Below are 27,239 nucleotides of genomic sequence, written 5' to 3'. Positions count from 1 at the left end.
TGTAAAAGAAGACAATGCCCCTGAGAAATGGGTCAGAACTGAGAGGCTGACTCATATCCAATAAGGACTCAATATTGTTACCTGCTATGTAAAGGGTTACCAGAAGCTCCTCTGTGGAGATAGTAAGGTGTCCAGTGGGAGCTGTGGGGGATCTCAGGCCCCATGAGTCCTCTGTTCTCTTGGCTATTATGGGTTTGGTTGACCCCCTCAGAGCCTGGGGCAGCCCTTTTCCAGTGGTCCTCTTGCTTACAGAGGGCACACTGACTTTGGCTCAGGGGCCACTAAGTCAGGCTCTCATTTATGCATCCCAGATGCCAATCTCATGGCACTTCCTCAAGATGTGTAACTCTGAGGTGGTAGGGGGCTCAAGGCAGCCACCAGGAACTGTGTGTTTTGACTATTTCTTTTGGTTTTCTCTGCCTCCTCTGCCCTGTTCCTACTGTTGTAAACTCCAAAGGCCATGTTTAAGAGTTGGCCTGGCCAGGTGTGGTGGCTTACACCTGTAATCCCAGCTCTTTGGGAGGCCGAAGCAGGCAGATCACTTGAGGTCAGGAGTTCGAGACCAGCCCGGCCAATATGGTGAAACCCGTCTCTACTAAAAATACAAAAAAATTAGCTGGGCGTGGTGGTATATGCCTATAGTCCCAGCTACTCAGGAGGCTGAGTCAGGAGAATCATTTGAGCCCAGGAAGCAGAGGTTGCAGTGAGCCAAGATCACGCCACTGCACTCCAGCCTGGGCAACAGAGTGAGACTCCATCTCAAAAAAAAAAAAAGAGTTGGCCCATTGGGGTTTGAAGTGTCATTTCTGCCTTATGTAACTTCCTTCTAATCTCAAGGAAAGACTGAGTAATAAAATGCATACCCAGGAAAGCATACCTTTCCAGGGAGTCTGGGTCTGTATTAGTATAATTCCTGAGTGTCTCAACCAGACAGCCCTGAAATAAAGCAGGATTTCCATCCTTTTCAAAGTTACATCTCTAATCGTGTCATAATTAGCTGGCTTAACCGCACACTTTTTCATGCTTTCTATTAAACAAGTTACCATGTGATTTCTGCATTCAAAATCTTGGCAACTCCTCTGGTAATCTCTTTGAGTCTCCAGATCTGGAACTGCATCTCCCCCCATATAATAAATGGCATGGCCTTGGTTATAAGCATTCTACCTGCATTTTTACGGGCAGTACCCAGAATCATTTGTTTATCCTCTATGATAGAGCAGGTGGACAATATTTGCAAGTCATGCCAAGTTAAGTCAAAGGACATGGTCAACTTAACAAACTTCTCTACAAACTTCCCTGCATCCTCTTAAAAACCAGCTACATTTCTCCTTGCATAAAGCCAAATCAGATATAGAAAAAAAAAAAAAAACACATGTATTCTGATTGTCCAGTCATCTCTATCAGCTACCTCTCACAATGAACATAGGTTCAGTTTTAGGGGCTGATATGAGACCCCACTCCTGGTGATACTGGTTGGGCTTACTTCCTTGGGCAGGGCGAGATATAGGCTTGGGATAGTTTAATAAGGGGAAGGGGAGGTGGAATCCTGTGCTGTGGAACTGGTGAGATCAGCCTCCTCAGAACTGGGGGACTGAAGAGACTTCAGGTTGGGGAGCACATGGGCCTTCTATGGGGAGTAGCTAGGAGGGGATTATCTAGGGTATCTAGTGTGGCTTTTTGGTGTCTGGATGTAACATGAGCAAGGCACATTCTACAGGTGTCCCTTAAGTCAGGCTCCTAGTAGAGAGCCATAAGAGCCTGTACATAAGGGATTTCTCTTCATTCTCCTTCCTTTTTACAGAATAAGTTGAATTGTAAAATAGTTGAATTGTAAAATAATGTAACAAACCATTTTTAGGCCAAATTTCTTGGTCTCTTAATTTGTATTGGACCCAAACTGCGTTGCAGTGGAAAATGAGTCTCGGCTTATACAGTATGGTCAGCCACATTAGCTAGCATTCGCTCTACTCTCTCTGACAGGGAAGCAGCGGAATACAAGAGACTGAACTGTATCTGCCTCTGTTTCCAAAAGATTCACGTTCAACTTTCACTCACACAAAGCCGGGAAAATTTTACTTTTTTTTTTTTTTTTTTAGACAGAGTCTCGCTCTGTCACCAGACTGGAGTGCAGTGGCTTGATCTCGGCTCACTGCAACCTCCGCCTCCCAGGTTCAAGCGATTCTCCTGGCTCAGTCTCCCAAGTAGCTGGAATTACAGGCACCCACTACCATGCCCAGCTAATTTTTGTATTTTTAGTAGAGACGGGGTTTCACCATGTTGGTCAGGATGGTCTCGATCTCCTGACCTCGTGATTCGCCCGCCTCGGCCTCCCAAAGTGATGGGATTACAGGCGTGAGCCACCGCGTCCGGTCATTTTATTAGTCTTTAAAAAAAAAAAGGAACCTGAACTTTTCTAACACAGCTGGAACAATTCACAGCAGCCGCGGCAGCCGCAGCAGCAGAAGAAAAGGTTTAATTTAGTTGATTTTCTGTGGTTGTTGATTGTTCGCCAGTCTCATGGTGATGGAAGCTGTACATTTTTCCGAAGGGACCGAGAAGCGGCTGGAGGTTTGGTTCTCCTGGCAGCAGCCCAATGCAAACCAAGGATCTGGGGATCTTCGCACTATCCCAAGATCTGAGTGGGACTTTTTTTTTTTTTTTTTTTTTGAGACGGAGTCTCGCTGTGTCGCCCAGGCTGGAGTGCAGTGGCACGATCTCGGCTCACTGCAACCTCGGTCTCCCAAGCTCACGCCATTCTCCTGCCTCAGCCTCATGAGTAGCTGGGACTACAGGCGCCCGCCACCACGCCCGGCTCATTTTTCGTATTTTTAGTAGAGACGGGGTTTCACCGTGTTAGCCAGGATGGTCTCGATCTCCTGACCTCGTGATCTGCCTGCCTCAGCCTCCCAAAGTGCTGGGATTACAGGCGTGAGCCACCGCGCCCGGCCAAGTGGGACATACTTTTGAAGGATGTGCAACGTTCAATGATAAGTGTGACAAAAACTGACAACCAGGAAGCTTGTGTACTCAGTGAGAGTAGCATGTTTGTCTCCAAGAAACGTTTCATTTTGAAGACACGTGGTACCACTCTCTTACTGAAAGCGCTGGTTCCCCTGTTGAAGCTTGCTAGGCATTACAGTGGGTTTGACTCAATTCAAAGCTTCTTTTATTCTTGTGAGAATTTCATGAAGCCTTCCCCCTAAGGGTACCTACACTAGAATTTCCAGGAAGAAATAGAGTTTCTTAATGCAATTTTCCCAAATGGAGCAGCATATTGTATGGGAAGTATGAATTCTGACTGTTGGTACTTACGTACTCTGGATTTCCCAGAAAGGTAATCAGTCAGCCAGATCAAACCCTGGAAAATTTGATGAGTGGGCTTGACCCAGCAGTTATGGACCAGTTCTACATGAAAGATGGCGTTACTGCAAAGGATGTCATTTGTGAGAGTGGAATTCACAACCTGATACCAGGTTCTGTCATTAATGCCACAATGTTCAATCCTTATGGGTATTCGATGAATGGAATGAAATCAGATGGAACTTATTGGACTATTCACATCACTCCAGAACCAGAATCTTTTTATGTTAGCTTTGAAACAAACTTAAGCCACCTCCTATGATGACCTGATCAGGAAAGCTATGGAAGGCTTCAAGCCAGGAAAATTTGTGATCACTTTGTTAATCAGAGTTCTAAATGTCGCGCCGTGTTTTCTTCACCTCAGAAGATTGAAGGTTTTAAGCGTCTTGATTGCCAGAGTGCTATGTTCAATGATTACAATTTTGTTTTTACCAGTTTTGCTAAGAAGCAGCAATAACAGCAGAGTTGATTAAGAAAAATGAAGAAAAAAATGCAAAAAGAGAACACACGTAAGAAGGTGGTGGATGCTTTCTAGATGTCGATGCTGGGGTCAGTGCTTTCCATAACCACCACAGTGTAGTTGCATAAAGCCCTATATGTAATGATAGTGTAATCATTTTGAATTGTATGCATTATTATATCAAGGAAATAGATATCTTGCACGAATGTTCGCTTCTGTGTTTAGGTATTCTCTGCCACTCTTGCTGTGAAATTGAAGTGCATGTAGAAAAAACCTTTTACTATATGAAACTTTATAACACTTGTGAAAGCAATTCAATTTGGTTTATGCACAGTGTAATATTTCTCCAAGTATCATCCAAAATTCCCCACAGACAAAGCTTTCATCCTCATTAGGTGTTGGACTCAGCCTAACCGTCTAGGACTGTTCTATTAAATTGCTGCCAGAATTTTACATCCAGTTACCTCCACTTTCTAGAACATATTCTTTACTAATATTATTGAAACCAATTTCTACCTCATACAGAGGTTTTTTAAAACAGCAATTAAAGTTTTTCTTCCATGAAAAAAAAAAAAAAGAAAGAAAATCGGTCTCTTTCTCTTTAAGAGAATTTGAATTTGATCCAATTGCTTTTGACACCCTAGCAGCAAGTCCTTTGAGATGCTTGCCATTGTCCCCATGTCTAACAAGGATCTCCACTAGACACAGAAGTTTTTCTAAATCTATCAAGAGCCTAGTTAATTTTTCTTTCAAATGCCTACCTCCCTTTTCCCTCAAGAAAGGTCAGTAGGGCAATCACCACTAATTCCTGCAAAGAAGGCATAAGTACAGTTACCATGGCATAACGAAAATGAATTATCAGATATGAGTGGACAGTAGAGAGATGGATGGCTGCATCCACTAGCAAATGGAATGCAACAAAAGAGGAGTTTTTGTTTGTTTGTTTGTTTGTTTGTTTTTGAGACGGAGTCTGGCTCTGTCCCCTAGGCTGGAGTGCAGTGGCACGATCTCAGCCCACTGCAAGCTCCGCCTTCCGGGTTCACGCCATTCTCCTGCCTCAGCCTCCTGAGTAGCTGGGACTACAGGTGCCCGCCACCACACCTGGCTAATTTTTTTGTATTTTTAGTAGAGACAGGGTTTCACCACATTGGCCAGGATGGTCTCGAACTCCTGACCTCGTGATCCGCCAGCCTCGGCCTCCCAAAGTGCTGGGATTACAGGCTTGAGCCACCGCACCCGGCCAAAAGAGGAGTTTTAATAAGCAAATTATTGAAGGAGAGATTAAAATAAGGAAATAGGATTCTTATAGTCTGAATTCCACAAAAAGTGAAGAAAGCATTTTGGAGAAAAAATGGGATGACAAAGACAACAAGAAAAAATGAGACCAAGATCCCCCAAGGATGGGACTCTAACCCACAATCCTAGAGGGGATACCTAGATCCCTCTAGAGTGGGACTCTAACCCACAATCTTAGAGGGCCAAAAGCAGTTAATGCTGAAAAACCTGGAGCATCCAGGCATCAACCAATGACGGTCCCCCACATCAAATGCTACACATCCCAGAACAACCTGGAGGCAGACAACAGTGAACCCCAAAGGCACAAGCCCAAGGTCCTCAATGGTGGGATTCTCACCCACAATCCTATGGGGACAATTCCAAAACAATTGGGGGCACAGAACAGCATGACTCCAACATTCCAAAGTCAGCACAATGGGGGATCACTCATAATAACAAAAGAAAAAATGCAGCCAGGCGCAGTGGCTCACACCTGTAATCCCAGCACTTTGGGAGGCTGAGGCAGGTGGATCATGAGGTCAGAAGTTTGAGACCAGCCTTACCAACATGGGGAAACCCCGTCTCTACTAAAAATACAAAAATTAGCCAGGCATGGTGGCGCACGCCTGTAATCCCAGCTACTCAAGAGCCTGAGGCAGGAGAATTGCTTGAACCTGGGAGGCAGAGTTTGCAGTGAGCCGAGATCACGCCACTGCACTCCAGCCTGGGTGACAGAGCAAAACTATGTCTTGGAAAAAAAAGAAAAAAAAAAGAAAAAAATGCAAAACAAGGAAACTGTCCTACCTCATATAACATAGAAACAATTGCCCAAATAGCAGGGGAAACAAAGGAGACACCTATCCATGGAGGGCAAATGGTGCTGATTGATGTTAGTAGGGGGGCGTCCAGTGAAGGTCTCCTGCAGTTCCCCTCGGCTTGTTAATCCCTTCATGGGTTCCAGGAAAGATGATGCAGGTGAATCCCAAAACTGGGGCTCAGCCCAGGAGGGTTCTTGGCTTCATGCAGGAAGGAATTCAAGGGTGAGCCAACAGAGTAAAGTGAAAGCAAACCAAGTTTATTAAGAGCAACAGAATACAGGAAAATGGCTGCTCCATAGATAGAGCAGGGCTACCCCATAAGCAGAGTAGCACTCATGGATTGCTGACTAACTCTATTTATAGCTACTCCTTAATTATATGCTAAATAAGGGGCAGGTTATTCATAAATTTCCTAGAAAAGGATGAGGAGTTCTCAAAACCAAAGGTTCCTCCTCTTTTAAACCATATAATAGCTTCTGGACATTGCCATGGCATTTGTAAACTGTTATGGCACCAGTGTGAGTATCTTTTAGCATGCTAATGTATTATAATTAGTGTATAACACAGATCAAGGGCAATTAGAGATCACATTCGTTGCCATCTTGGTTTTAGCTGATTTAGCTGATTTATTTAATGCCTCCTGTTTTGATTAGCAAGGTTGTGACCAGTGTTTGGAAAACAAGTCCTGCTGATCTACCTCTATATAAGATAATTAAATTAGATAATCCATGTAAAGTGTTCATTTGGAACATAGTAAATGCTAAATATTAGCTATTATTATTGTTATTATTTTCCTCCCAATATGCAAATTTAGATGGATAATAAAATTATAAGAAGAAGATTGCTTAGCACTAGATTCCCAGAAGTGGTTTATTCATTAGTTTAATGGCCTCAGGCAGGATACACCCACTGCAGCATCTAGAGTGCTCAATCTCAGGAAAGGGTGCACTTTCATGGACTCTTCAGAATCCTACTATTATTTCACATCTCTGCAACTGTAGGCTGTCAGAAAAACAATACTCCAATACAAAGGCTTCAAAAGCAAGTCTCTCTGACCTTCTATCCTCCTGCCTCTGGCCCCTCATTCTCCCAAGGCTAGCCTTAGAAACTAGAATTTTTCTTCCTCAAGGCAGGTCATAGAAACTAGAACCCCATTTCCCCAACACCAGGCATAAAACCTAAAAGTATTATCCTAACGTTCCCCCAACATTTTTGTGTAAAAATCAGCCATAAAAAAAATTATTTGACCTACCTTGTTTGATTGCAGGTCTAAAGACCCTCATTCCAGAGAGCATCCTGCCCCATATCCAGAATGAAATCCATGCTCAGAGATGCCAAGAAGAATCTAGACAGACAGGCCTTTCTAGGTAGGTTTCCCCACTCGGTCTTTAGCATTAGATCTTACCCTTTTTGTCCAATCATATTTCTACATAGCTGCCCATACTTTGTTGAACCTAATGATAAAAATGGACAGTTTCCTCTATATCTTTGGGTCCGCATTCTAAAGGCTCCTGTGTCAGGTACAACTCTAACCAAATAAATTTATATGCCTTTTCTCCTAGTAATATGTGATTTTCAGCAAAACTTCAGAAGGCAAAGGGAAAGATTTCCCAGCCCCTAACCAACATTTGGCACTCGTAAGCTCTTCCTCTTTAACCTTCTATTCTCCACTGGCTTCTGTCATTTTATTCCTATGTAAATGAAGAAAACAGATTTCTCTTCTTCAATCCAGCCATTAAACTTGATAATTTTCTCTTCTCTTCTGTCTCACTTTTCCTAAGTAATCTCATTTCTTCCTGTGGCTTCAGCTATCAAATCTCTAACTCAAGCAACATTGCTCTGAGTGCCAACACCATAAATTTAACTCTCCTCTGAAGAACTCTACTTGGATGCTCCAGGTACCAAATGAAATATCCAAAACGGAAGAAAGGAGAGTCCCTTCATTTCCTGAATCTGCTCCCTTCTGGTATTCCGAATCTTATAGGCTGAGGCACCAAAGCCAGAATCCTGAAAGTCATCCTGATCTCTGGCCTCTCACTAATGACTCACATACAATCTCTCAACATCTGTCAACTTCTTCCTAAAAATCTCTTAAATGTGGCCCTTCTGTCCAACCCCACTACTACTAGCTTAGTAGCTACCATCATTTCTCACCAGAATTTCTACAATAGCCACTGAACTTGTTTTCTGCTTCATGTCTCATATGCCTCCAACCTACCAATCTCACACCCCTGCTTATCCTCAGCACCTGGAACAGTGTCTGGCATGAAGTAGACACAAATCAATATTTGTTGAATGAACAAGCGAATGAATCAATTCCTATCATAGAGCCCAAGGAAAAACTTCCCCTTTGCCCTCTGAAGTTTTGTTGAAAAGTCAACTGACAAAAAAAGCAGATTAAAAGAAGAAATGACATGAGGAATAATTACTCTGTGGTTCTCCTTTGTGGGTATGTTAATAAATTTCTGTGCCATTTCTCCTATTAAGCTGCCTTTTATCAGTTGATTTTTCAGTGGACCTTCAGAGGGCAAAGGGGAAGTTTTTGCTTGGCTCCTATAGTTTTGGTGCTGTGAGCAGTATACCAAAACTATTCTGCTCTTAAGCCAGAGTGAAGGGAACCCAGGACCTGACTAGCTGCCAGAAGAACAAGAATTTCTTACCGGCCAAGCTTCTGGCCTCTCTTTCTGTGGAATCTGATCAAGTTGACAGTTAAAATCCCTGTTTGTCTCTTTTCTCTGCAAAATCTTGATTAATGGGAGACAAGGATTTGTGTGAGTAGTCTTGGGTGTTGTGACTCTGGTGTAATTTTTGGTTTAAGTATTCATATTATTTGATCCTTTTTGTCCCAGAAATCAACTTTTTCTTTCTTTGTCTTTCCGTGTTGTTATGTCATAAAGAAGGGTACCAAGCATGAGGTAGAACATAGGCCTAAAGCCTTTATAAGCCCATTTTTCCAGCCAGCCTTGCGGACTTGTCAGAATTGTAGTTCTGACCAGAACAGCATATAAACTTTGTTGTGGGCCCCCAAAATAAAAACCATATGAGATTCCCCTTTCATCTTGTTTTATATCCTTGAAAGTGTGGCTGGTGACAAAGTGGGAGCACTCTCTCTTGGTCTCCACTATCTATGAGGCATGATTTTCAGGTCATATAAGGTGACCAGTCTGAAAATGGCTGGGACGTGAGACATGTAAGATTTTAAGCAGCACACTTTTTGTTATGAATGTGTCAAGCTCTCAGGGGAGTTTGTCTTAAAAGTCCCATCACTGTGGGCTTTTGTCATCTCAACTCTTGTTGCTTGGTTCTAAACAATTGCCTTCTTTGTGTTTATAGACAGACCAAATTAAAATAAAGACATATAATAGTATCATGGCTAACCTTAGAAATTCTCTTGACAAAATTAAACAGCAAAAATCTGACCTAACACAAAGTGAAAATCATAACTGAAGGGGTGGGTTGCCCCTCCACACCTGTGGGTGTTTCTCGTTAGGTGGAACGAGAGACTTGGAAAAGAAAAAGACACAGAGACGAAGTATAGAGAAAGAAAATAAGGGGACCCAGGAAACCAGCGTTCAGCATATGGAGGATCCCGCCAGCCTCTGAGTTCTCTTAGTATTTATTCATCATTTTTGGGTGTTTCTCAGAGAGGGGGATGTGGCAGGGTCATAGGATAATAGTGGAGAGAAGGTCAGCAGATAAACACGTGAACAAAGGTCTCTGCATCATAGACAAGGTAACGAATTAAGTGCTGTGCTTTAGATATGCATACACATAAACATCTCAATGCCTTACAAAGCAGTATTGTTGCCCGCATGTCCCACCTCCAGCCCTAAGGCAGTTTTCCCCCATCTCAGTAGATGGAACATACAATCGGGTTTTATACCGAGACATTCCATTGCCCAGGGACGGGCAGGAGACAGATGGCTTCCTCTTGTCTCAACTGCAAAGAGGCATGCCTTCCTCTTATACTAATCCTCCTCAGCACAGACCCTTTACGGGTGTTGGGCTGGGGGATGGTCAGGTCTTTCCCTTCCCAGGAGGCCATATTTCAGACTATCACATGGGGAGAAACCTTGGACAATACCTGGCTTTCCTAGGCAGAGGTCCCTGGGTACTTGAGATTAGGGAGTGGTGAAGACTCTTAATGAGCATGCTGCCTTCAAGCATCTGTTTAACAAAGCACATCTTGCACCGCCCTTAATCCATTTAACCGTAAGTTGACACATCACATGTTTCAGAGAGCACGGGGTTGGGGGTAAGGTTATAGATTAACAGCATCTCAAGGCAAAAGAATTTGTCTTAGTACAGAACAAAATGGAGTCTCCTATGTCTACTTCTTTCTACACAGACACAGTAACAATCTGATCTCTCTTTCTTTTCCCCACAATAACATATGTGCTCAAACTGTCTGTAGGATTCACAATAAAGCTGCTCCACCTTTCAGTCCAGTAATTAAAATTCTGTGCTTTCACTACTGTGGTCTGGGTTTGATTACCAGTCAGGGAACCAGTACCTTTTGGTCTGATATTTGTGTGACTTTTGGCTTTTTGGGGTACCCATTTGTTGTTGATCATTTTCTGTTTCATGGACAGCTTTTGATTTTCTGCCTCCTTCCATCTGTGGGGGCGTATGAGGCTTTTGGGCCTTTGTGTGTAGACAGTCAGCTGAGAAGTTGAGACACTAGAGAATATGGCTGGACAGATGTGGGTTGAATCCCGTTTGCGGCTACTGAAACTTTATTTTCTTTGAACTGTCTTTCAGTGCATCTGCATCTTGTGAGGACTGCTTTTTACCTCTTTGGAGACACCTCATGTGTCCTTAGTTAAATTGTTGAGTCACTTGCAAAGTTACCTTTCATAAAAAAGTTTAAAAGTCAGGAATATTAGCTATTTGTCCTAGCCAAAATCCAATAATAAAAGATCTGAAAATATATTTTTAAAAAGCTCTATGATCAGAAGTCAGCTTAATTAGAAGCTAATATTCAACATATATGTTGAATATATCGTTATATACATAAATATATAATATACATATATTTATATTATATTATATTATAACTATATTAAATATATAGGTATATATTTAATATAGTTATATATTTATATAAATATATACCTATATATTTATAGAAATATATTTAATTTATATTTAATTTATATTATATTATATTATAAATATATTGTTATATATTTATATATTATATTTTATTTATATATTATATAAATGTATAATATTATGTTATATATTATATATAACATATAATATATAAATATTATAAAATATATAATAGATAAAATATTTTTATATTATATATTATAATATATAAATGTATTATTACAATATATAAATATATGTGTATATAAATATGCAAAAATATATTTATATAAATATATGTATATAAATATGCAAAAATATATTTATATAAATATATATATTTAAAGGCCTTTCTGCCTTTTTTCTTTGGGATCCTATTTCTGAGGATTTTTCTAGTTTACTGAAACTTCTTTTAATTGTATATTTGGTCTTTTTGTATGCTTCATTTCTTGTGGTATGATTTTTGTTAAGAAAAGCGTAAAACTTCATTGGCTTTTTGTTCCTCCTTTCTCTTTGCTGTCTTGAATATCACATAAAAGGATCTGTGGGAACATCTAAAGACCCTGTAAGAAACATAGAAAACCCTCTCCCTCCCCCTCCCCCTCCCCCTCCCCCTCTCCCGAGCCGAAGCTGGACTGTACTGCTGCCATCTCGGCTCACTGCAACCTCCCTGCCTGATTCTCCTGCCTCAGCCTGCCCAGTGCCTGCAATTGCAGGCGCGCGACGCCACGCCTCACTGGTTTTCGTATTTTTTTGGTGGAGACGGGGTTTCGCTGTGTTGGCCGGGCTGGTCTCCAGCTCCTAGCCACGAGTGATCCGCCAGCCTCGGCCTCCCGGGGTGCCGGGATTGCAGACGGAGTCTGGTTCACTCAGTGCTCAATGGTGCCCAGGCTGGAGTGCAGTGGCGTGATCTCGGCTCGCTACAACCTCCACCTCCCAGCCGCCTGCCTTGGCCTCCCAAAGTGCCGAGATTGCAGCCTCTGCCCGGCCGCCACCCCGTCTGGGAAGTGAGGAGCGTCTCTGCCTGGCCGCCCATCGCCTGGGACGTGAGGAGCCCCTCTGCCTGGCTGCCCAGTCTGGAAAGTGAGGAGCATCTCTGCCCGGCCGCCATCCCATCTAGGAAGTGACGAGCGCCTCTTCCCGGTCGCCATCCCATCTAGGAAGTGAGGAGCGTCTCTGCCCGGCCGCCCATTGTCTGAGATGTGGGGAGAGCCTCTGCCCCGCCGCCCCGCCTGGGATGTGAGGAGCGCCTCTACCCGGCCGCGACCCTGTCTGGGAGGTGAGGAGCGTCTCTGCCCGGCCGCCCCGTCTGAGAAGTGAGGAGACCCTCCGCCTGGCAACCGCCCGTCTGAGAAGTGAGGAGCCCCTCCGCCCGGCAGTCACCCCGTCTGGGAAGTGAGGAGCGTCTCCGCCCAGCAGCCACCCCGTCCGGGAGGGAGGTGGGGGTCAGCCCCCGCCAGGCCAGCTGCCCCGTCCGGGAGGGAGGTGGGGGGGTCAGCCCCCCGCCCGGCCAGCCGCCCCGTCCGGGAGGTGAGGGGCGCCTCTGCCCAGCCGCCCCTACTGGGAAGTGAGGAGCCCCTCTGCCCGGCCACCACCCCGTCTGGGAGGTGTACCCAACAGCTCATTGAGAACGGGCCATGATGACAATGGCGGTTTTGTGGAATAGAAAGGGGGGAAAGGTGAGGAAAAGATTGAGAAATCGGATGGTTGCTGTGTCTGCGTAGAAAGAGGTAGACATGGGAGACTTTTCATTTTGTTCTGTACTAAGAAAAATTCTTATCCTGTTGATCTGTGACCTTACCCCCAACCCTGTGCTCTCTGAATCATGTGCTGTGTCCACTCAGGGTTAAATGGATTAAGGGCGGTGCAAGATGTGCTTTGTTAAACAGATGCTTGAAGGCAGCATGCTCGTTAAGAGTCATCACCACTCCCTAATCTCAAGTACCCAGGGACACAAACACTGCGGAAGGCCGCAGGGTCCTCTGCCTAGGAAAACCAGAGACCTTTGTTCACTTGTTTATCTGCTGACCTTCCCTCCACTATTGTCCTATGACCCTGCCAAATCCCCCTCTGCGAGAAACACCCAAGAATAATCAATAAAAATAAATAAATAAATAAATAAATAAAATAATAAATAAATAAAAAGAAACATAGAAAAGCTACCACTCACCCACTTTATGGGAATGATCTTCTGTCTTCCTGTGGAGTCTGAAGAGTCATGGGCAAGTTCTTATCAGGTCTAAAGCTCCACTCTCCTTTGCATTGCATTACCTGGTCTCTTTGGCTTTGGGGGTTCAAGGAATTACTTTGACCTATTAGAGAATTTGACCTTGTGTATGCAATGGCTGGTGGGTCACTGGTGAGGGCTGCAGTTTTGGAGGTAGCTGACAGTGGTTGCAATTAATAGTTATTACTGTATGTAGGCTACTTGTTGCTTTGCTCTATTCTATAAAAAAGACATAGTTGAATACATGGAGACTGTGGGAATACTCACCACCAAGGAATAACTATCCCATGGTGGATGGGCTGATCACAGAATGGGCTGATTGATATGGGTCTCCCACCCACTAATACCTGACACACAATCTGTCACTCTCACTAATGCCTCACACACCCCCACCAGCCTCAGGGTGACATCTTTGTAGTGAGGTGTACTCTGGAAACACTGTGCAGCCCAGTCCTTTGGTGTTTCCCTCTTTTGTGGGGGACCCAGGGTTCAGTGTAAAAGTAGAATCCTTGATTTTTAAAAATCTAGATGCTCTGTCTTCCAGCTGTGCCTACTTTTTACATATACAAATATTAGGCCCTAAAAACTGCAAATGCTTTGTTTGCCCTGTTCCTTAATGGGCTCTGCCCAGAACTCAGTGGTCTAAGTAGAAAACAGATACTAAATTAGAAGCCACCTATATGACTAGATTGGTCTCCAAAATATGACTTTCTGACATTTAGGTGTTTGTTTTTGTTTTTGGTAGGGTTTTCTGTATTTTTTGTTTCGTTTTGTTTTTGTTTTTGTTTTTTGAGACAGTGTATTAGGCCATTCTTGAGTTACTATAAAGAAATTCCTGAGACTGGGTAATTTATAAGAGGTTTAGTTGGTTCACAGTGCTGCAGGCTGTACAAGAGGCATAGTGCCAGCATTTGCTTCTGGAGAGTCCTTAGGAAGCTTACAATCATGGTGAAAGGAAAAGGGGGAGGAGGCACATCTCACAGCAAAAGCAGGAATAAGAGAAAGAGAGTATGGGGGGAGGTGCCACATACTTTAAAATGACCAGATCTTGCAAAAACTCACTTGGCACCAAGGGGACAGCCCTAGCCATTCATGAGGGACCTGCCCCCATGATCCAAATACCTCCCACCAGTTATTACATTTCAACATGAGATTTGGGTGGGGACAAATATCCAAACCATATCAGACTGGGTCTTAATCTGTTGTCCAGGCTGGAATGCAGTCACACAATCACAGCTCACTGCAGCCTCAACTTCCTGGGCTCAAGCAATGTCCTCATCCTCCTACCTCAGCCTCTCAAGTAGCTGCTATTACAGGCACACGCCACCATGCCTGGCTAATTTTGTTGCTTTTGTAGAGACAAAGTTATATACCATGTTGCCCGGGCTTAGCTAGTTATTTTTAAAAGGCTTCTGAATTTCCTCTCTGCTCATTTGTATCTTTCATTGTAACATCCTATGTGAATTTCTATAATTTTGTGTCACATTGGTGTGTTTGTCTGTTTTGTGTTGCTATAAAGGAATACCTGAGGCTTGGTGATTTATAAAGAAAAGTTTATTTGGCTCACTATTCTGCAGGCTGTACAAGAAGCATGATGCCAGCATCTGCTTCTGGTGACAACCTCAAGAAGTTTACAATTGGCCGCGTGCGGTGGCTCATGCCTGTAATGCCAGCACTTCGGGAGGCGGAGACAGATGGATCATTTGAGGTCAGGAGTTCGAGACCAGGCTGGCCAACATGGTGAAACCCCATCTCTACTAAAAATACAAAAATTAGCTGGGCATGGTGGCATGTGTCTGGAATCCCTGCTACTCAGGAGGCTGAGGCAAGAGGATCACTTGGAACTTGGGAGGCAGAGGTTGCTGTGAGCTGAGATCACACCACTGTACTCCAGCCTGGGCAACAGAGTGATACTCTATCTCAAAAAAAAAAGAAAGAAAGAAAGAAAAGAAAAAGAAGCTTACAATCATGGTGGAAGGCGAAGAGGAGGAGCAGGCATATCACATGGCCAAAAAGGGAGCAAGAGAAAGGTGAGAAAGACACTAGACTCTTTTTAAAACCAGCTCTCACATGAGCTAATGGAATAAGAACTCACTCATTACCACAAGGACAGAACCCAGCCATTCATGAGGGACCTGCCACCATGACCCAAAAACCTCCTACTTGACCCAACCTCCAACACTGGGGATAACATTTCAACATGAGATTTGAAGAGGACAAATACTCAAACTATATCACTTGTTGTCCATTTTTAATCTTTCTCTAACATACCCTAACTTCTTCTTGAAAATGCTTAATTTTCTCTGTTTTGAGATGTAAATTTGCTATCCTGTTTTTCTTAAAACTTGGTAAGATCTTCAGCCATGAAGGACAGACAAACTGTAACCTTTCCATTTACAAAGCTGCATTTGAATTCAACTGTCCTTTTAAACTAAGGAGTTTTACTGGTCTCGTGGCTAAAATTTTAAAGATGTAGGCCAGGTGCAGTGGCTCATGCCTGTAATCCTATCACTTTTGGAGACCAAGGCGGGGATGGATCACCTGAGGTCAGGAGTTCAAGACCAGCCTGGCCAACATGATGAAACTCCATCTCTACTAAAAATACAAAAATTAGTCAGGCATGGTGGCACACACCTGTAATCCCAGCTACTCGGGAGGCTGAGGCAAGAGAATGGCTTGAACCCGGGCGACGGAAGTTGCAGTGAGGCGAGATTGCACCATTGCACTCCAGCCTGGGCAATAAGAGTGAAACTCTGTCTCAAAAAAAGAAAAAATGATATAAAGTATTTATTTGTGTTTATATTTTATGGATACGTGTCTATGTTTATAGATTGCCTGTATGGTACCAACTTGACATAAATAAATTAGTACTCATAAATTAAGTAAATAAGCCCAAACGCTTTTCAAGTTCACAGGGCATTAGTAATCTGTGGTAAATGAAGATAGTTTAAAATTTGGGGTAAAATAAAATAGAAACATTTTCTGAATTTAATTTAGATATTTTTCTGGGTCTATTTGTTAGACAGGTTTACACTATCTCTGCTATTTTTTTAAGGACCTAAAACTGAATGGACATAGAAAATTGAGGAAAGAAATAAAACCGTAACAATTATAAGAGGTTATAAAAGGTTCATGGAACCTTTTTATGTTTTTTCTTGTGCAGTCAAAACCAATTGCAGGCTGGATGCAGTAGCTCACACTTGTAATCCCAGCACTTTGGGAGGCTGAGATGGGCAGATCACTTGAGCTCAGGAGTTTGAGACCATCCTGGGCAACATAGTGAAACTCTCTCACTACCAAAGTACAAAAGGAATTAGCTGGGCATGATGGTACACACTTGTAGTCCCAGCTACTTGGGGGACTGAGATGGGAAAATTGCTTGAGCCCGGGAGTCAAAGGTTGCAGTAAGCCAAGATTGCACCACTACACTCCAGCCTGGGTGACAAAGTGAGACCCTGTCTCAAAAAAAAACAAAAAAAGGAAAAGAAAACAATTGCAATTGGATTGATCTGTTTATAAGGCTTTATTAAAATTAGCTTTAGCATTTATAATACACTGGCACAAAGTTAGAATTTGGATTTCTCTTTTGAACAAGATTTTTGTATACATTAATAAGAAATAGTAAAAGATTTTTGTTTACCTTTTGAGTAAACTGCAAAAAATATTAGTAATAAGAGGAGAGAATTTCCCTAATGCTGTTTTTATTATGTCTTTTGATTGTTTGGAAAACTGAATCTCCCCTCTGTCAAAGAGTAAAATTTTTGCTTTTTGAAATTTTTGAATTATCAGTTTGGCTAAATGAATAACTATTATCTTACAGTGACCTGTAATCTTATTTTGATCAAGTGTTTTAAACCTTTGATATTTGACAAACTTCCCAAAATCAAATGTAAAATTCTAACTTAAATGTTTTCGACCTCAAGCTAACTTTTGGGCATTAAAGCCCTTGGAAGTCCAAATAGGGCCCCTGGAAGTCCAAAAGAAACATATTAGGCTAATTTGGTATATTAAAATCATACAGGAAGCTGATCAAATAAAAAATGTTGTTTAATTTTCTTTGAGTTGTATTTGTATAAATCTGTTATTAATATGCATCCCAAAATTGTATCATATTGCTAAAATGTTGATAGATCTTGTTATATGTTATTGGTAATAATTGTTATCCTGTTAAATTATTGTATACCACAGAAATAATGAAATTTCTTTGTCAATTGCATCAGTAATCATGGCTCTTCTAAGTCTTTTGTCATTCACAGATGATTATTGTTTTACTTGGATTCTTTTCAAAAGTGGTTTGTAATTGGCTACAGCCTAAAATCTGCTTGTTCAAAAAAAAAAAAAAAAAATCCATGGAAAGGGCCCTGACAGCACACACACTTAAACACAGTTTTCTGATAACTTTGGAATTCACACCGTTGGACTAGTTAAAAACTTCTAAAATAATTTTTTAAAATCTAATAAATTAATGAAGATTGCTAATCCAACATCAAGCAGAATAAGTTAATTACATGGGGCTGAACTGATAAAATGCCAAAATAATATTTTCATAACCTTTTTTTGGTTTGAGACATTGCTGATACTTTTTATGTTTTGTTTTCCAGAGTCAAGAAAATTGTTTTTTTCTTTTGAGCTGTACATAGCTTACAGTAATTAGATAAATTACACTTTTGTGAGAACAATTGAAACACTAACCTTTCTCTCTACCTGATGTCTCCAGAATTTGGAAAGTATTTGTGAGTATTCTTCACTTTTGGCAATATAGTTATTTGTACAAATTCGATAGGAATCTGTTTTCTTTTGTAACAGAACACAGTTGGATACACTGATTATTTTGCCAAGGCTTTCATTGGAATGGCATAATTTTTTAATGACCAGACTGCTTTGAGGATTTGAAGTTGACTTTATAGAGCCTATAAAAAGCCTGTTGGAAAAATTAGCCTGATACCTTGTCTACACAGTTTCCTTACAAGGTTCCTGACCTTGCGGTAGTAAAGAATGTCACTCTCTGGCAGGCCCAGGAGCCTCAGGATATTTTGGGAACCTTGACAAGAGAGGAGTGTATCCAATTTATACAGGAATTACAAGTGCAGTCTGATTGTGAATCCTTGTCTTGGCTTCTTAGCCTTGAGAGTTTTTAAAAGTTGAATGTGAAATTCCTTATGAAAAAGTTCCAACAAAGCCAAACTTTAAAAGAGCCTATATGTGGTCAATCACTATTTTTGCTGTACTTTATGCAAATAATCAGGCCAAATATAATAAAACTAAAACTTATTTTGCAAATAAATTGGTCCTGTTATGATTTGCCTTTAATAGAAAAGGGGGACTGGAGAGAGAAGAATTATGTTTCAGAAGAAAATGATAGCATACCTGTTGTTAGATTCTAGCTTTGTCCATTGTTTTTAAGTTGTAATTATTTGCCTACATTTGAACTAAATCTTGAATTCTTTCCTGGCTACAAGTCTCCAAGCTAACATTTAAATTTTTTTCTCCTATGTTTCTGACTTGGAATAAGTAGAAGTTAAAACTATGCTTTTCTTGAAGCCCTGCAGACTGGAGCAAGACAACTTGAATAAACTATGGGAAAAATCACTACAGCAACTTATATATAAACAGCTTTTATGCTTTGTTGATGTATGGAATACTCAGAAAGTTCACTGCAACACCTGATTTAAACTACAACCAGGAGACTCTGTCAGATTAACACTACAATCTGAAGAACTACAGAGACTCTCAAAAAACTAGTGTATAGTCTACAGTAGATATTAACCTTTGTTTTTCTTCTGTTTTCATAGAAACACCTTTTATTAAAAATCTGTTTGCCGCTTCATATATAGAGTCCTAGTCCATCTGTAATGCCACCCCCTGGAATGAGACATAGCTGTTTAACTGAACTGATCTATTCTCGGGACTAAGAGACTGATAAAAAAAGATATAAAATGATATATTCAAATTTGCTCCTTTCTGCTTATCCCTTTTGTTTTTCCACTCCTTTGTCTATCTGTTTCTGTAACCAAAAAGGCGTCCTGATCCAGACCCCAAGAGAGGGTTCTTGGATCTTGCGCAAGAAAAAATTCGAGACGAGTCCACAGTGCAAAGTGAAAGTAAGTTTATTAAGAAAGTGAAGGAGTGAAATAGTCCATAGACAGAGTAGGGCATTCCCAAAAGTAAGAGGAGGAATGCACCCACCCTAAGTACAGTGCTTGTTTATATGTAGGATAACAACAACAACAACAACAACAAAAAATCACAGGGAGATGTGCTCTACTACAAGGGCTTGTGATAAAGGACTAATTTTCTCAATTACTATATTTTGCAAGAATTGATATTATTCTGTTTAAAGCAAAATTAGGAATGTCTTTGTTCTCAGGATGTCAGGATATCGGTCATTCCTGGGCCTGGGTCTGTTTAGTAAACATTTTTAATCTGTACCCTTAACCAGAAACATCTACAGGCTAGGAATACCTAACCTCCTGGGAATCCAGCCCAGCAAGTCCCAGCCTTATTCTTCTAGATGGAGTCACATTCAAGATGGAGTCACTCTGGTTCGAATGCTTCTGACATATTTTCCCCATCCCTTTTACAAGAGGAACCGTAATCCTAAGGGTTGCAGAAGAATGAAGATCCCTCTTCTGTAACTTCATGCTGAACAGGGGCAATGATATTCCTACCTACCTGTTAGGGTCTCTTATATTCAGGGTAGAGAGAAGCTCAGTCAGAAAGCGTCAGTATGGTGAGGGTCATTTGTAACTCTGAGTCCCAGCAAAAGGGATATCTGGAAGATTAACAAGTGTTCAATTTAAAAAAGCGTTGAGTAAGCTTATCTTGCATTCCTACACAAAAAGTACAACAGCAATGTATTCACAACAGCAAGGCAAAATAAATGAAATCATCCCAAGTAAACTAAACAGGAAGGCTTGCCAAGAACTAGGCAGTTTTTGGAACCAAGTTGATACAGGGTCGACTGACAGCGCATCAATGACAGAGATATGAGTGTCTAAAGCTTTCATAGGCTGGGTAATATTATGTAAACCATCCAGAATACACACACAACATTCGGTTTTTATCAAAGCACAAGTTTCCCCTTAGGCTGCTGTTAAAATTCCACAGCCATACAATTTTGTAAGGTCACCTGCCTAATCTGAGAAGTTTCCTAAGTTAGGAAGGTAAGGCATGGTAAGTATTATTGAAAGTTGCAGCCGTGTGCTTGGCTAGGGCTTCAACTCGCAGCTCAATATCCATCGTGGCACCTGTGGGGAAAATATAGCCAACAGGTAGAACCACAAAAATGCCCATTTTTGTCACGTATGCCGAGCCTTTACAATTTCCCAGTTAGATGAGAGAGAGTCCAATTTGGTGAGGATGTGTCCTGGGAGATAAGGATGACCCCACATACACTGTCCAGTTCAATTATAAGGTAAGTATGGCCAGCCGTGGGTTCCGCAAGCCCATAACCATCCCCAAGGGGAAGGGTAGGCACCCGTTTTTGGTGAATTATGTTGCCATCCCAACCAAATGTGGTCTGATAAAGAAGGGTCTGATTATGTTGTTGAGGCGGCAACCATCCTATATCATGTGTTCCAGTGTGGTGGTGACTATTATTATACCTCTCAAAACAAAGAGGTCCTTTGCCTGATACCAGTACTTGAACAGCTGTCATCTGCCTAAGTCCATCAGGTACAGTATAACCTAAAGTTGGGGTGGAGTTTAGCTGTTTCCTAATTACATTAAAAAGTGCCTTTTTTTCTCTCCATAGGAGAGGAAAGGACTAAGGCCTGTGTGGCTATGGTACCGGGGAAAAGAGAGAATATGTTTACAATATTCAGTTTCCCAATCATAATAAAGTCCCCATAAACTTAGGTTGGCCAGTTGAATATTCAAGGGCAAACCAGAAGTAGAGGAAAGTGGCAATTCTCCACATACCCAACAGTTTGTCCGATTATGTAGAGAAATTAAAGTCTGTGCCCACTCAGCAAATAAGTTACTCTCTGTGTGATTCCATCTTATACCCAAAAGTAGGATGCCAATCCATATCTTTGTGTTACCAATCCCTTTTGTTTATTTTGAACAGGAGCCAGAGGTCACTGGTTGATTCACAGGAATAAGTGGTATTAGTCTCTTGTGTTCCGTTGGCCTGTGGGATGTTATAAGAGACAAGTTTAATTCGGATAAGTGGACCCAGTTGTTTATTCCTAGAAGTTTAACTGCAGTTGGGATACTAAGAAGAACTTGCTAGGGTCCCTTCCATTTGGGGAAAGTTGATCTGCTGGGGATCCTTCCTCCCAAGCTTTTAATGGGACACAATCTCCCAGCTGGGTTATAATAGGATTCTCTTCCTTAGTAGGGGAAGGAGTCTTTGGTTTCCATATCCAAGGGGTGTCTTTTGCACTTGTCCTGAGTTGATTACATAACTTTGTAGCGTGAAAGTATATATGTCTATCAGGAAGTCTGTAGTTAAGAAAGGCCTTCCATACATTATTTCAAAAGGACTGAGCTGCAGATTTCTCATGAGGGGCCACTGGAATCTGTAACAAGGCTACAGGCAATAAAGACAGCCAGGTTGCTGATGTTTCCTGTTAGAGTTTAGCAAGAGTCCTTTTTAGTGTTTGATTGGCTCTACTTTCCCTGAAAACTGTGGCCTCCACACTAAATGAAGGCAGTACTGAATTCCTAGGCCTGAAGATATGTTTTGGAGTATTGTCACTATGAAAGATGGGCCATTATCACTCTGCAATCTCTTAGGCAAGCCAAATCTAGGAATTGTTTCCTTCATAGCAGTTTAGAAACCTCAATTGTCTTTTCAGACCGGGTAGGGAAAGCCTCAATCCTACTGGTAAAGGTGTCGATGAATAACTAAATATTAAACCCTTTACCTGGGGTAATCTGAGTATAGTCTACTTGCCAATCTTCACTGGGGTATGTTCCCCTAAGCTGAACAGACCTTACTGAAGAAGGAGGTAAAGATTGGTTATTCAGATTATTCTGGGCACAGAGTTTACAGGCCCGAGTTACCTGCTTTACTGTTTTAAATAAGCCTTTTACTAAAAAAAAAGACGAGACATTAACTGAAATTGGGAATCTCTTCCCAAATGAGTAGAATCATGCAAATACTTAACTATTTCCCACTGATTAGCACCCAGTATCAACAGTTGTTTTCACTGATTACCCATCCAGAAGGATCTTGAATTAAACCCTGACCTTTAGCCCATTCTTATTTCTCTCAGTACATCTCGGTTCTCTCATTACTGGGGTGGTGGGCACTAATATGCCTACAAGTCCAGCTGGCTCCATTAATGCAGCGGCCTTAGCTGCAGCATCTGCAGAGGAGTTTCCCTTTGTCACACTACAGTCTCGTTTTTGATGCATTCTGAAACAGATTACACCCACTTCTTGGGCAGCAAAACAACATCTAATAGATTTAAATTTTCCAAATGATGTTGCACAGGGGAGCCCTTAGCAGTTCCTCCCAGATAGCAGCATGAGCATGAAGTACCAGGAAGTGTAAATGTTGATTCTTAAGTCTTTTTCCAATTGCAGGGCTCTAATAAGAGCTACTAATTCTGCTTTTTGAGCCAAAGTAGAAGCTGGTAAGGCTTCTATTCAATTACCTCATGTTGACTGACAACGGCATACCCAGCTTTTCTGTTTCCCTGGTGCACAAACCTACTTCCATCTATAAGCCATTCTACTTCAGGATTATCTAGAGGCTTAGCCGTTCAATTTGACCAGCTGGAATAAATTTGCTCCGTAACTTGTATACAAGAATGATTGTCAGGGTGTGGTGGCTCACACCTGTAATCCCAGCATTGTGGGAGGCCAAGGTGAGTGGATCACCTAAGGTCAGGAGTTCGAGACCAGCCTGGCCAACATGGTGAAACCCCATCTCTACTAAAAATACAAAAATTAGCCGGGCGTGGTGGTAGGTGCCTGTAATCCCAGCTACTCAGGAGGCTGAGGCAGGAGAATCGCTTGAACCAGGAAGGCGGAGGTTGCAGTGAGCCGAGATCATGCCATTGCACTCCAGCCTGGGGGACAAGAGCAAGACTTCATCTCAAAAATAAAAAATAAAAAAATAATGATATAGGGTGCCTGTGGGTTCAGGCAGATAGGCAGCTGGATTAAAAGTCTAGCATACTTAAGAGTTACATAAAGACTCAGACTCATCTATGGATTTTCCTCAATTTTTCAGAAAAATGGCCAAACTTCTCTTTACATAGAGCCACATCAGACATAGAAAAGGGGACATGTACTCTTACAGTGCCTTCTTCTCTGTTCTCCACTTGTCTAAGTGGACAAAGATTTCCCTTTGGAGATTAAAAAGAGGCTTGACTACAAGTAGTACCTGCAAGGCTAGATTCTTCAAGAGGTGGTGGGTATAAAGTAGGACTAGACAAGTAAGGAGAAGGGGATGAAGGGGCTTCAGTACAACTTCCAGGTGGACTAAAGGGAGAAGAGGCCAATGCACTGAATACTCAGAGCTGACAGAGGAGGTTCTGCTCCACCCAAAAATGCCCACTGAACTTGGGGGGCTTGCATCAAGGGATCATCTATTGTGGCTAGTTTTTTTCTTCCTTTCCTCTCATCAAACATGCACATGCCTGCTGCAGGGTTTTCTCCTGACTGAACAACAAAAAAGCTTGAACATGTGGCATTTCATCCCATTTTCCCTCCCTCTTACAAAACAAATCGAGTTGAAGTATAGTATTCAAGGCTGTAGTTCCAGTAGGTGGCCATTTTTCTTGTTTTTCCAAATAACATCAAGGCCAAACAGTATTACATAGAAACACCAATTTCCTCTTCTTAAGCCCATTTAATTTAAACTGGTCCCAACATTCAAGAATACATTCTAACATTGAGTCCTTTGGAATCAACAACATGGTTCCCATGAAGGAGGCAGGTGATGTTGGAAGAAAAGTTCCAAACCTACAAGACTGTTTTGCCACTGGCCAAGTTCCACTGAAAAGGATAGGAGAGGTTTTAAGGCCAGTTGCATTAATGAGGAGATCCCTGCTGAAAACTGAATTCTCTTATTCACACAAGCCAAATAACATAAATGAGCTAAGCCATGCATCTTAAATAAACCACAATATGAAACCTGACAAAATAAATGTCAAATAAGGCAAACAAAATGAAGAGGATTTAGTTGGGGATGACCAGAGCAAGCATGTTCTGGGCAACAATGGTAGCATGGATTGGACAAGCAAAGCCAATTTACCTGAATCCAAGAAAGGAAAGAATTCTTTTAGTGTGCAAATGAAACAAAAAAGCAGGGAGAAAAGTCCCCTGATTTCTATCTGTTTTAGTCTGTTCTCATGCTGCTAATAAAGACATCCCGGTGACTGGGTAATTTATAAAGGAAAGAGGCTTAATTGATTCACAGTTCATCAGGGCTGAGGAGGCCTCAGGAAACTTACAATCATGGCAGAAGGGGAAGCAAACACATCCTTCTTCACATGGTGGCAGCAAGGAGAAGTCCCGACCAAAAGTGGGGAAAGCCCCTTATAAAACCATCAGATCTGGTGAGAACTCACTATCATAAGAACAGCATGAATGTAACTGCCCCCATGATTAAATTACCTCCCACCCATTCCCTCCCATGACATGTGGGAAATATGAGAACTACAATTCAAGATGAGATCTGGGTGGGGACACAGCCAAACCATATCACCATCCTAGTGCTTCTTTATTACACCTAGTGGGCATAGCTGCAGCAAAACATAACCACATCTATCTAATCTTACTGCTCATACCTGTTAAATACCAAATCTCAATCAGCAGTTTTAGAGATGGGACCTTAGCAGCTAGAGTTTTAAAATAAGCCAAATATAATAAAACCAAATCCTGCAATGCATTTTGTTCCCAATGTTTCAAAAGCAAGTGGACAGAAATCAGGAGGTACACAGGGGAAGAGAAAGTTCAAATCCCTAAGACCAATTAAATGAAGTTTCCTGAAAATGACAGTGAAACCGAGACAGCAACCAAGAAATTGATTCGTGCAGCAAAGAGGACAAGGCAGATTAATACAAAGAACATAGCAGTTAACATCCCACGGTGCCAAACCCATTTTTAGCCAAGAGGGATTTTACTGAATGGGGCCTCAACCCCCTAAACCTTGGGAGGGACTCCAACCTTCCTAAGTTGGGCCTGAACCCAAGTTCGGTCAAGTGTCTTTGACTTTTATTAAGAGGGGCCTTTAACCTTCCCTGTCTTAGGAGAGAGTTAAATTGGGCCTCTAACCTAATCCCATCCTCTACCTAGGTAAATGCACTCCACTTACCCAAAGTCGGCCACCTGGTGGAGTGCACAGATGATTTTCCTTTGGGTCAGGGGTCTCTTCAGTATAATCCCTTTGTGGTTCACCAGAAAGACGTTACTGGAAAGGGGTCCCGATCCAGACCCCAAGAGAGGGTTCTTGGATCTTGCACAAGAAATAATTTAGGGTGCGTCCACAGTGCAAAGTGAAAGTAAGTTTATTTAAAAAGGAGTGAAAGAATAGCTACTCCATAGACAGAGCAGGGCATTCCCAAAAGGAGGAGGAGGAATGCACCCACCCTAAGTACAATACTTGTTTATGTATAGGATAACAAAAACAAAATCACAGGGATATATGCTCTACTACAGGGTTTGTGATAAAGGATTAATTTTCTTAATTATTATATTTTACAAGAATTGATATTATCTTTAAAGCAAAATCAGGAATGCTTTTGTTCTCAAGATATGGGGATATCAGGACATTGCTGGGCCTGGGTCTGTTTAGTAAACATTATTAATCTGTTTCCTTAACCATAAACATCTAGAGGCTAGGAATGCCTAACCTCCTGGGAATGCAGCCTAGGCCTGCATTGAACGATGGCTTTTTCCCAGCCCTCATTCAAGACAAAGTCTCTCTGGTTTCAATGCCTCTGACATACCTAAGAAACTCTGATATGGTTTGGCTGTGTCCCCACCCAAATCTCATCTTGAATTGTAGCTCCCAGAACTCCCACGTGTTGTGGGAGGGAGGTGGTGGGAGATAATTGAATCATGGGTTAGTTTCCTCCACACTATTCTCGTGGTAGTAAATAAGTCTCACGAGATCTGATGGTTTTATAAGGGGTTTCCCTTTTTCCTTGGTTCTCGTTCTCTTTTGTCTGCTGCCATGTAAGAATGCCTTTCTCCTTCCTCCATGATTGTGAGGCCTCCCCAGCCATGTGGAACTGTAAGTCTATTAAACCTCTTTTTCTTTATAAATTACCCAGTCTCGGGTATGCCTATCAGCAGCATGAGAATAGACTAATAAAACCTCTGATCCAAATTTCTCCAAAGCTATCAACTCGGCTTTTTAATATGTAAACCTTCTTAAAGTTTCAAAATGAGGACTGAAGGAAATAAAAATATTTCACCCCAAAATGTATTTATTTGACATATTTTGCCATGGCTGTTCAGAGGGCCTGCAAATAGAAGTATCCCTGCAAAGCTGCCTTTTGTGGGGGAGAGCTGCATCTGTAGAGAAAATCTGTATTGATGCAGCCAGGTTCTTTCTGAGGCCTTCCAATGTCTATATCAAGAAAAGATTAACTGAGAGTCTGATGACTTTAAAGTTCTGAAAAATTATTCACCATCTAGCCTCTCTGAGGTCTGCTACCTATTAGGTTTCATCTATATAACGAGACCACCTTTGCTAGCCAGGCTTCCTCTTATCTCTGTCTCCCATAACCTGTTTTGTCATTGTAACCTGTTTTGTCACAATCTAAGCCCCCATTCTTCCTGTCACCTCAATATGGTATATAAGCTTCTGAACCCCATTAGGGGTTGGAGTGATCACTCTATGGTTCTCCCCCATGTACATGTTAAGAAATTTGTATGTCTTTTCTCCAATTAGTCTGCCTTTTGTCAGCAAATTTTTCAGTGAAACTTCAGAGGCCAAAGCAGAAATTTTCCTTGGCGTCTATCCCTAAATCTGTTTCCTTTTGGTATTTTCCATCTTACAGGCTGAGGCACCAAAGCCAGAATCCTGGAACTCACCCTG

At 41.8% G+C, this 27,239-nt stretch overlaps 1 long non-coding RNA gene and 1 pseudogene across 1 annotated transcript in view, besides 1 other annotated feature; both read left to right on the top strand.

Annotated features, from left to right (window-relative positions):
• NNT-AS1 (NNT antisense RNA 1) overlaps positions 1–17,562 on the top strand; it is a 30,046-nt gene extending 12,484 nt beyond the window's left edge. The window contains exons 2-3 of the long non-coding RNA NR_073113.1: positions 7,181–7,280; positions 14,812–17,562. This is a non-coding gene — a long non-coding RNA (NNT antisense RNA 1). The remainder of the gene's footprint in view (positions 1–7,180; positions 7,281–14,811) is intronic.
• AMD1P3 (adenosylmethionine decarboxylase 1 pseudogene 3) lies at positions 1,925–4,384 on the top strand (annotated as a pseudogene).
• Positions 9,509–10,255: an enhancer, noted in NCBI's record as "NANOG-H3K27ac hESC enhancer chr5:43580594-43581340 (GRCh37/hg19 assembly coordinates)". NCBI's record gives its function as "activates a minimal SCP1, AML or CMV promoter by ChIP-STARR-seq in naive H9 embryonic stem cells {active_cell/tissue: H9 hESC(naive)}" and the evidence as "EXISTENCE:reporter gene assay evidence [ECO:0000049][PMID:30033119]".
• Positions 17,563–27,239: the final 9,677 nt, after the last annotated feature.

This window comes from Homo sapiens, chromosome 5 (assembly GCF_000001405.40).
Source record: "Homo sapiens chromosome 5, GRCh38.p14 Primary Assembly".
NCBI classification, from domain to species: domain Eukaryota; kingdom Metazoa; phylum Chordata; class Mammalia; order Primates; family Hominidae; genus Homo; species Homo sapiens.
The sequence above is the reverse complement of the archived record's forward strand: the minus strand, read 5'-3'. Positions and strand labels throughout refer to the sequence as shown.